This window comes from Homo sapiens, chromosome 12 (assembly GCF_000001405.40).
Source record: "Homo sapiens chromosome 12, GRCh38.p14 Primary Assembly".
Lineage (NCBI taxonomy): Eukaryota > Metazoa > Chordata > Mammalia > Primates > Hominidae > Homo > Homo sapiens.
The window spans coordinates 122,192,425-122,203,258 of record NC_000012.12 but is presented as its reverse complement, the minus strand read 5'-3'; the positions used below and the strand labels follow the sequence as shown (position 1 = coordinate 122,203,258).

Sequence of the window (10,834 nt, the reverse complement as noted above, 5' to 3'; positions counted from 1 at the left end):
GGCCGCCCTGACCCATCCCATATGCAAGCCCTGGACCCTGTCCCAGCGGGAGCACAGTTTTGGTCCTCGGGTGTTAACAGTAATAAGAAATAAAATTAAATTGTATTTAATTAGATCATTTAATAAATCGCAGCTGTTTGAGTTGCAAGACTGGCTGCTTTTTGCTTTGAGACAGTGTCGTGCTCCGTCGCCCAGGCTGGAGTGCGGTGGCATGATCCCGGCTCACTGCAACCTCCGCCTCCCAGGTTCAAGCGATTCTCCTGCGTCAGCCTCCAAGTAGCTGGGATTACAGGCGCCTGTCACCACGACCGGCTATTTTTTGTAGTTTTAGTAGAGACGGGGTTTCACCATGTTGGCCAGCCTGGTCTCGAACTCCTGACCTCAAGTGATCCGCCTGCCTAGGCCTCCCAACGTGCTAGGATCACAGGCGTACACTACCGAGCCCAGCTGCAGATATTTTCTTAAAAATGAAGTAATTATAGCACTTCAGGGGAAACAACTGAAAGCATTTCAATAAATGTATAACATTTGCCCTAAAAATGAGACAACATTGTATCTGCCACCATGAATTTACCAATTTTCCAATACGCAAAGACCTTTCTAATGATGTGGGTGGTGATAGTAAAGAACGTGATCTTTGGAAAATGTATAGTGACAGGTGTCAACTGTTGGAATATCTGCATAAGTCTGTTAACCTGTAGTTTACAAGTAACTCATGCATGTTACAAACTGCATGGTAAAATATCCGTTCAAAATGCAAACTAGATTAATGAATTTTAATCTGATTATGAAAAATTCAATATAGATTGTTTTCACATTGTAACAACCTTTAAGAAATTACCACTTGTCAAATTTGGTGTAATATTAAAGAAATTATATTATTTTAAGGTCTATTAAAATACTCCCTCTTTTCCAATTATGGGCCTGAGGTTGGATTTTCTTTGTGCACGTCAATTACAGCAACATATTGCAAGCAGTTGACTGCAGAAGTAGCTGTAAGAATCCAGCTGTCTTCAATTAAGCCAAACATTAAAGAGATTAAAAAAAAAAAAACCTTTTTAAGGCCATCTTAACCCACAGATAAGTATCACAAATCACATGTTCATATAGGCATGGGTTTTGAAGTCCAGCAGCATATGCCCTCCAACGTTTACTTCTTCAGGCTGGCGTGAAATGGCGCGATCTCAGCTCACTGCCACCTCTGCCTTCCAGGTTCAAGCGACTCTCCTGCCTCAGTCTCCTGAGTAGCTGGGATTACAGGCACCCACCACCGCACCTGGCTAATTTTTGTGTTTTCAGTAGAGACGGGGTTTCACCATGTTGGCTAGGCTGGTCTCGAACTCCTCACCTCAGGTGATCCGCACGCCAAAGTGCTGGGATTACAGGCGTGAGCCACCATGTTGGGCCTGTTTCCACTTTTCGGCTTCAGTATGATGGGTTGCTCTGCTATGATCGGGCCTCATGCTTTTTGCAGCCACCTCCCACGGCACTCCCTGTCTCCTTTCTCTCCCTCCCAGTTGGTTGTTCTTTCTGAACCTCAAACCTGAGACGCACCCATTTCAGATGCTTCTCCAGCTCCCCACAGGACAAGCCCAGGCCCCTCTTACAGCAAATAAGGGCCGATGGCCTGAAGCTGGAGGCAGACACCTCGGAACCAGATGAGCCCCAGGCAGCCCCAGCTCCAAGCTCTTGCCCCGCTATGGCTCTACCACAGGTGCCTTCCCCACCCTGGTCACCACCCACACAGGCCCTGTGGTCTGAGGGCTGCAGAGAAGAAATAATAACACTGGATCTAAGGGGGGATGTGGCCTCTCCCCAGGCCAGAAGCTACCATTCCCCACCCTTTGGTTCCTTTGGCCTCCCCCAGGGCTGGCCCTCAGCAGGTCCTCCTGACAATCCCTGCCTTTGGTCACCACCATCGGCACTCACCTTTTTTGGCAACTTTCTTAATCTTCTTTGAATCCTGAGAGAAAGAACCACAAAACGAGATGCTTACTGGAGAGGGGAGGTACTAGAGAAGGGGTGTCTCTGGGGCCCCACCTCCTCCAAGGCTCTGACAGGTCCAGGAAGGCGGGGGTCTCCTGGTGAGGGTGGCTGCCCCAGCCCATCCCCAAAGGGAAGGCTGCTGACTGGGCCAAAGTCCACGGAGGCGCCCTCTGTGCAGGCGGCAGCACCAGCAGCCCAGCTGCATGCCCCAGGGAAAGGCCCTCCCCACCACCTCCTCCCCATCCCGTGACCTGGGCCCACAGCCCTTGCTTGCCCGCGGGGTTCCCATGGGGAGGGCGAAGGCAGAGGTGGAGGATGTGGCTAGGGCCCGGCTGTACCCTGGCCAACGTCAGCCTGTCAGATGTCAATGTGCGGACCACGCCGAAGTTGCACACGGTGGACACCAGGGGCTCCCCGGCGAGCAGGGGCTCCAGGATCACCAGGCCCCGGCCCAGCACCTGGAGGATGGGGGGGTCCTGCCGGAGCTCCTTGGGCGGCTCTTTCTTCTTCTTCAGCACCTTCCACTCCTGCGACGACGGGAGGACAGGAGGGTGGGACAAGTTGAAGCAAGGGTGTGGCCAGGCTGCCCTCCCCAGCACCAAGGCCCGGTACCTTGGCCGGCTCTTTCTCTCCTTTCCCCGTCCTGTCTTTCTCCTTCCCTTTCTTGTCTTTCTCCCCCTTTCCTTTCTTGGCAGACAGGGGACTGTCAACAGCAGGTAGCACCACAGGCCAGGAGAGAATCTAGGGGCAGGAGAGAATCCTCGAGTGAGCAGAGGCCCAGGCGGGCTGCCTGGGGTCACCTCTCCCTCACCCTTTCTGGAATGGCGCTGAGAACTCATCTAACCAGGGAGTGCGGCTCCCATGGGGGACAGCCCGATGGGAACAGGAACAAGGACAGAAGTGCAGCCTGTGGATGGCCGGGCACTGCCTCCGCCTGCCCACCTTCTCCTCCACGATGGTCACGGTGGTCCCCGCCAGCAGGAAGGCCTTCAGTGGGACCAGGTCCCTGAGAGAGTGCTGCATCTCGTAACTGCAGGGGATGACCTCAGCCCAGGGCTTGTGGGCAGTGCTGAAGAGGACAGTCCTTGGGGAGGGAGGGATGAAGACGGGGGTGCCGTCACCCAGGGGCTGTGGCCAGGGACCCGGGACAGGACTGTGAGGGGACATCCGAGGAGACCACGAGCATCGAAGCCCACAAACAGCATGAGACGTGAGGTCCGGCTGCCACCAGGCAGGGCAAGGGGACCAGAAGGCCAGAAAGGTGTGGATACAGAGGAGACAGCAAAAGAAAGGCAAGTGGAGCCCTCCTTCAGAGGCAGGACCACCCTGAGCAACTGAAAGAAACCAACCGAAAGGCAGCAAGAGTTGTTTGTTAAAAGTTCAGCAAAGGGCTGAGCGTGGTGGCTCTGGCTTCTAATCCCAGCACTTTGGGAAGCCGAGACAGGAGGATCGCCTGAACCAAGGAGTTCGAGAGCAGCTTGGGCAACATATCGAGACCCCGTTTCTACAAAAAATACAAACATTAGCTGGGCGTGGTGGCACATGGCTGCAGTCCCAGCTACTTTGGGGGCTGAGGTAGGAGGATTGCTTGAGCCCAGGAAGTCAAGGCTGCAGTGAGCCATGTTCATGCCACTGTACTCGATCCCGGGCGACAAAGTGAGACCCTCCTGCAGGAGAAAAAAAAAAGCAGAGGCCGGGCAGGGTGACTCACGCCTGTAATCCCAGCACTTTGGGAGGCAGAGGCAGGCAGATCACGAGGTCAGGAGATCGAGACCATGCTGGCTAACACAGTGAAACCCCGTCTCTACTAAAAATACAAAAAATTAGCCAGGCGTGGTGGCATGTGCCCGTGGTCCCAGCTACTCAGGAGGCTGAGGGAGGAGAATCGCTTGAACCTGGGAGGTGGAGGTTGCAGTGAGCTGAGATCGCGACAGTACACTCCAGCCTGGGTGACAGAGCAAGACTCCGTCTCAAAAAAAAAAAAAAAAAAAAAAGCTGAAACAATTCTAGCCTAGCCCCAGGCTAGAACACAGAGGGGACTGGAGTTTCCTAAGTCTCAGAACACCATGGCAACCCTGAAGCAGCATCCCACTCAGGAAGTGATTTAACATAAATTGTTCTACCAATTGGATCACAGCATGAAGGAGAATTAATAATATACTCCAACAAATTTAAAGTATGTCCAAGTTGAACGTTGAACCTGGGAGGTGGAGGTTGCAGTGAGCCGAGATCGCGCCACTGCACTCCAGCCTGCTGACAGAGCAACTCTGTCTCAAAAAAAAAAAAAAAATCGTGAAAGTACATATGACAATAATAACTGGTTTGAAACATAGTGATATGGGCCGGGCTCAGTGGCTCATGCCTGTAATCCCAGCACTTTGGGAGGCCGAGGTGGGCGGATCACTTGAGGCCAGGAGTTCAAAACCAGCCTGGGCAACATAGTGAAACCCCATCTCTACTAAAAAATACAGAAAAATTAGCCGGGTGTGCTGGCGGGAGCCTGTAAGCCCAGCTACTTGGGAAGCTGAGGCAGGAGAATCACTTGAACCTGGGAGGTGGAGGTTGCAGTGAGCCGAGATCGCACCACTGCCCTCCAGCCTGGGTGACAAGAATGAAACCCCATCTCAAAAAAAAAAAAAAAAAAAAAAAGGAATGAAGCACTGATACTTATTACACCGACCACAGATGAGCCTTGAAAACATGATGCTCAGTGAAAGAAGCCAGACACAAAAGGCTATGTATTTTGTGATTCCATCCATATGAAATATCCAGAACAGGCAAATCCACAGAGACAGAAAGTACTTTAATGGTTGCCTTGGACTAGAGGGATGGGGAATCGAAGGTGACGCCTAATGGGTACCTTTCTGGGGTGATGGAAACGTTCTGGAATTAGACTGTGGTAATGGTTGCGCAACTCTGTGAATACACTAAAAACCACCGACTCATACGCTTTAACATGAACGTTATGATATATTAACTATATCTCGGCCGGGCGCAGTGGCTCATGCCTGTCATCCCAGCATTCTGGGAGGCTGAGGCAGATGAATCACTTAAGGTCAGGAGTTCTGGTCTCGAACTCTCCTGGCCAACACGGTGAAACCCTGTCTCTACTAAAAATACAAAAATTAGCCGGGCATGGTGGTGGGCACCTGTAATTCCAGCTACTCAAGTGGCTGAGGCAGGAGAATCGCTTGAACCCGGGAGGCGGAGGTTGTGGTGAGCCGAGAGCACACCACTGCACTCCAGCCTGGGCAACAAGAGTGAAACTCCATCTCAAAAAAGAAAAAAGAAAAAGAAAAATTGTACTTCTCAGGTTAAAGAAATGTTAGACCCTCCTGAATAAAAAATGGCATGAAAAAAAAACCCCAAACCAGTGATAACATATGTACATGAATGATACAAATATATAAAGGTTAGCACTCAACAATCTACCGGAGAAGTGAGTAGAAGAGTTGAAAGTCTGTCTGCACACTGTCATCTTCTCCACTGCAGTCATCTTCCTCAAATGGAAACCTGATCTCATTACTCCTCTGCTTGAAAACTTCTTACTAGTTTCCCCTTGGGAGAAAGGGTCTTTTTCTCTGTCTCTCTGCAGCCCTATCTCTTGCCAATCCCTGCCTTCCTCCATAGTTAACCTTCTTTCTACCATGCCTCCTGTGAGAAACAGTTTAAATGGTCCATTTTCAAGGCATAAAAAATCTGAGTACTGGCAGCCAACCTTGCGGACGTGACGAACCTCACGACTCAGGCACCTAGAAAGTCACACTTAGCGAACAGGATGTAGAGGAGGGGTCAGCCCATGAAAGGGGGCCAGGCGCGGTGGCTCACACCTGTAATCCCAGCACTTGGGAGGCTAAGGTGGGTGGATCACCTGAGGTCAGAAGTTTGAGACCAGCCTGGCCAACGTAGTGAAACTCTGTCTCTACTAAAAATACAAAAAAAAAATTGGCCAGGGGTGGTGACATGCATCTGTAATCCCAGCTACTTCAGAGGCTAAGGCAGGAGAATTGCTTGAACCCAGGAGCCAGAGGTTGCAGTGAGCCAAGATCACACCACTGTACTCTAGCCTGGGCGACAAGAGCAAAACTTAAGTGGGGAAGGAGACGGGGTATGACCTTATTAGGGGATAATGATACTTGGGCGACACCCAGGAAGATTGTAACCCCATAGTACTTGACCAATGAGGAACTGGGGGAGGGACTTGCCCACTAGGAGATAAATGACCTGTCGTGACTGCCCCAGTGTTCCTGCCTACCAGACACCTGATCTTCCAAAACTGCCATGAAAAGTCTCATTTCCGCTGTTCTTCGTGTCTCTGAGTCTGTTCTTTGGGTTTGGATGGGTGAATGTGTTTCCCACACTTTCTAAGTCTATGTGCCCATCCTAGGGGCAGAGATTTGTCCTGTACTTCCTCTGACGTACCACTTGTGACATTAACATATGTAATTACTGTTTGTTCATTTCCCTCATGAAAAGGTAAGTGCCCAAATAGAACAGATTTTTTTTTTTTTTTGAGACAGAGTCTTCCCAGGCTGGAGTGCAGTGGTGCAATCTCGGCTCACTGCCACCTCCACCTTCCGGGTTCCAGTGATTCTTCTGCCTCGGCCTCCTGAGTAGCTGGGATTACAGGCATGTGCCACCATGCCCAGATAATTTTTTATATTTTTAGCAGATACAGGGTTTCACCATGTTGGCCAGACTGATCTCAAACTCCTGACCTCAAGTGATCTGCCTGCCTCGGCCTCCCAAACTGCTGGGATTACAGGCATGAGCCACTGTGCCCAGCCCTCTAGAACAGACCATTTTCCATCTGATTTGTTGTTTGTAATCCCGATACCTGGCATCACACCTGCACCTGGAAATGGTATGTGGATGACTGGCGTTTGCTAATTGTTGAACTTGGGAAATTACATATGGCAAATAATTGTATGGAAAATATAAAGGCTTACAAGTAAACTAAGGAATATAACTTAAGACAATTTAAAATAAATCTATTAGACTGCAAAAATAAAATGTATGTTTAGAAAATCAATGTGGAAATTCTGTTTTAGGACGTGGTAGACTAGACTATACTGGACAAACCTTCCTGCTGAGAACAGTCATATCAGCTTGACACAATATTAACATTATCTGTTGAAGGTGCTGAAGAGCCAAGTCACTGAGAATTTTCAGGGCCAACATCAGGGCAAAGGGGAACAGTCAAAGAGAATGAGCTTAGTGCCACATTAATGCTCAAGAGCCAAATCCAAAAGTGGTGGCTGAGAAGCTAAAGAGAACTTTAGGCAACCTCATGGGCGCTAGGGGAACAAAAATTTGTGTTCAAAGCCCTCCAAGGAGGTGGGCCCCTGGTAAACACTCCAGGTTTCCCTTGGGTTTTCTGAAGAGCTACTAGAAGAACACATAATAGAAGTGCTAGAAGGAGAGGAGATAGAAAAAGGAACAGAGAAAAATACTTGAAGGATAACGGCTGAAAACTTCCAAAATTTGATTTAAAACGTTCATCTATATATTGAAGAAGCTTGGCAAACTCCAGGCAGGATAAATGCAAACACATCCATACCCAGAGACATCATAGTAAAAATGCTGAAAGACAAAGTGAAAATCCTGAAAGCAGGAAGAGAAAAATGACTCATGACAGACAAAGGAATCCCAATAAGATGAACAGCTGAGTTTTCATCAGAAACAATGGAGGCCAGTAGGCAGGCTGGCGACATATTCAAAGTTCTAGGGTAGGCCAGGCATGGTGGCTCACACCTGTAATCTCAGCATTTTGGGAGGCTGAGGCGGATGGACCACTTGAGCTCAGGAGTTCAAGACCAGCCTGGCCAACACTGTGAAACCCCGCCTCAACTAAAAATCAGCTGGGCATGGTAGTAGGTGCCTGTAATCCCAGCTACTTGGGAGGCTGAGGCAGGAGAATTGCTTGAACCCAGGAAGCAAAGGTTGCAGTGAGCCAAGATCCAGCCACGGCACTCCACCCTGGGCAACAGGGCGAGACTCCCTCTCAAAAAAAAAAAAATGTTCTGGGGTAGCAGGGGAAAAGAAAAACACCAAAACTGTCAACCAACAATTCTAGACCCAGCAAAACTATCTTTGAAAATTGCAGGTGAAATAAAGACATATGAAGAGAAAGAAAAAACTGACTTTGTTGCCAGTAGATTTGCCTTACACGAAACATGAAAAGAAGTTGAATACATGAATACATTAACTTCCTGAAGGAAGTTCTTCAGGCTGAAAGGAAGTAACACCAGAGGGTAATTCAAATTCACATAAAAAACAAAGATCACCAATAAAGGTAATCATGTAGGCAAATACAAAAGACAGTATAGTCATATATTTCTTGTCCTTGGTTCTAATTAGAATAAAATGCAATAGCATAAGACAACATCTATAAAATTGTAGTTTGGGCTATAACATGTAGAAATGTAATATATTTGACCATAACAACATGAAGGAAATGGGGGTGAGAATGAAGCATACTGGAGCAAGAAAATGACACCAAGCCCAGGCATAGTGCCCCACATCTGTAATTGCAGCACTTTGGGAGGCTGAGGCAGTAGGATTGCTTGAGATCAGGAGTTCAAGACCAACCTGGTCAACATCGAGAGACCCCACCACAAAAAAGAGAGAAAGGAAGAAAGAGGGAGGGAGGGAATGAAACCAGAAAGTAAATCCTTTTTTCTTTTCTTTTCTTTTTTTTTTTTTTGAGACGGAGCTTCTTTCTTATTGCCCAGGGTGGAGTGGAATGGTGCAATCCTGGCTCACCGCAACCTCTGCCTCCTGGGTTCAAGCAATTCTCCTGCCCCAGCCTAAGTAGCTGGGATTACAGCTGGGATTAGTCACCACTCCTGGCTAATTTTTTGTATTTAGTAGAGATGGTGTTTCACCATGTTGGTCAGGCGGGTCTCGACCTCCTGAGGTGATCTGTCCACCTCAGCCTCCCAAAGTGCTGGGATTACAGGCATGAGCCACAACAGTAAATCAATTCTAAAGGAAGACATGAATTCATGGTTCCCCAGAAATGGTAACTAAGAAGGTTAACAAGCTTAAAAAAAAAAACAACTTTATATTTGTGCTCTCCTTTCTTCTCTGCAAGACATGGATTATATAAAGCAGTAATTATAACAATGTATTGTTGGGTCTGTAACATATTTATGTTTATAATAAAATTAATATTTATAACAATTACTCTACAATCTTCATAACAAAAGTAGCACAAAAAAGAGAGAAGGAATGGAGCTAGACTGGCAAGAAAGAACATGGTATACAGGATGGAAGATCCTTACAGCACTTTATGTGTGAGAATACATCTTAGATGGATTAAAATGTTAAACCAAAAAAGGTTTTCACACCCAAGGGCTGAAATGAAAAGGGCTATTAATTTATCATGTCTCGATCGACTCAAGAAATTCAGGCTGGGCGCGATGGCTGACGCCTGTAATCCCAGCACTTTGGGAGGCTGAGGCGGGCAGATCACTTGAGACCAGGAGCTCAAGACCAGCCTGGTCAACATGGTGAAACCCCATCTTTACTAAAACTATAAAAATTAGCTGGGCATGGTAGCACATGCCTGTAGTCCCAACTGTAGGCTGAGGCACAAGAATTGCTTGAATCCGGGAGATGGAGGATGCAGTAAGCTGAGATCGCACCACTGCACTCCAGCCTGGGTGACAGAGTGAGACTGTCCCCGCCAAAAAAGAAATTCAATCATTCCGAAAATCTTGGCTGGTCAGGGAAGTGGGACTCAGTTGTACTTTGAGTAGATGGTTAGAGTAGAAGGATTTAGCTAAGTTGAACCCTCCAGAGAAGAGGGCTGAACACGAAATCTAAATGCCGCCAGCACAGCTAACAGTCTAGTGGGCCTTTTTTTTTTTTTTTTTTTTTTTTTTTTATGAGACGGAGTCTCGCTCTGTCGCCGGGCTGGAGCGCAGTGGCACGATCTCGGCTCACTGCAAGCCCCGCCTCCTGGGTTCACGACATTCTCCTGCCTCAGCCTCCCGAGTAGCTGGGACTACAGGCGCCTGCCACCACGCCTGGCTAATTTTTTCGTATTTTTAGTAGAGACGGGGTTTCACCATGTTAGCCAGGATGGTCTCGATCTCCTGACCTCGTGATCCGCCCGCCTCTGCCTCCCAAAGTGCCGGGATTACAGACGTGAGCCACCGCGCCCCGCCAGCCTCAGGACTTTTAATGGAAGGTCGCAGTGTGGTCTAGGCTCGTGACCCTACTGCTCTGACCACTTGCCCTGGTTCAGATTTCCATCCTTACCCTGGGGACGGGCAGAGCCGGGGATCTATACGCAGCCTCAACTTGGCCAGCTCTTCTGCAGAGGCCCTCGGCATCTGCAAGATGGTCGAAGGCCCCGAGATGACAGACAGCTCCGACTCTCCTGACTCCTCCACCTCAGACTCCAGAGACCCTTCGACCTCTTCAGTAACCTCTTCAACAATGTCTTCGATGACGTCTTCCACGACCTCTTCAGGAGATTCCTCAACTAATAATTCTAAGCTGGGAGAGGGCTTGACGATCTGCAGGAAGAGACAGAAACTCGTCCAAGGCTGCCGTCTTCAGGATGTGCTCAGCTGATGCCGGGGGTGTCTGTAACACAGCTCCCGACATCTGGATGAGGTTCACGCATGAGCAGACACACCACGCTAGGAGGCAGGAAGGCGCTTAGAAACCCACTTTTGTCTTTTCTGAAAGACCTACATTAAGAGTAAAAGCAAGAACCACTTCTATGTGGGAGGAGGAGACAGGTTTCTCCTGGTTGGATGGTATCCTTGGGTTTTCTTCTGATGTGGAGGGAGATGGGAGGAGTTGTAGAAATTGCAGAATGGGGCTAGGCGCG

The 10,834-nt window shown here is 48.7% G+C and overlaps 1 protein-coding gene across 11 annotated transcripts in view; it reads right to left on the bottom strand.

Moving 5' to 3' along the window:
• The window catches only part of LRRC43 (leucine rich repeat containing 43), a 35,753-nt gene that overhangs the window by 213 nt on the left and 24,706 nt on the right, over positions 1-10,834 (bottom strand). For 5 of the 11 annotated variants that reach the window (XM_047428659.1, XM_047428658.1, XM_047428660.1 and 2 more), the window contains 6 exons: positions 10,255-10,514; positions 2,929-3,070; positions 2,599-2,727; positions 2,325-2,513; positions 1,930-1,963; positions 1,329-1,543 (listed from right to left, as the gene is read on the bottom strand). In XM_047428659.1, the coding sequence (XP_047284615.1) occupies positions 1,380-1,543; positions 1,930-1,963; positions 2,325-2,513; positions 2,599-2,727; positions 2,929-3,070; positions 10,255-10,514 (918 nt within the window). In that variant the 3' untranslated portion in view covers positions 1,329-1,379. Of the gene's footprint in view, positions 1-100; positions 1,281-1,328; positions 1,544-1,929; positions 1,964-2,324; positions 2,728-2,928; positions 3,071-10,254; positions 10,515-10,834 lie in introns of those variants that run through there. The other 6 variants (NM_152759.5, XM_017019124.2, NM_001098519.2 and 3 more) reach the window with 3 other exon arrangements.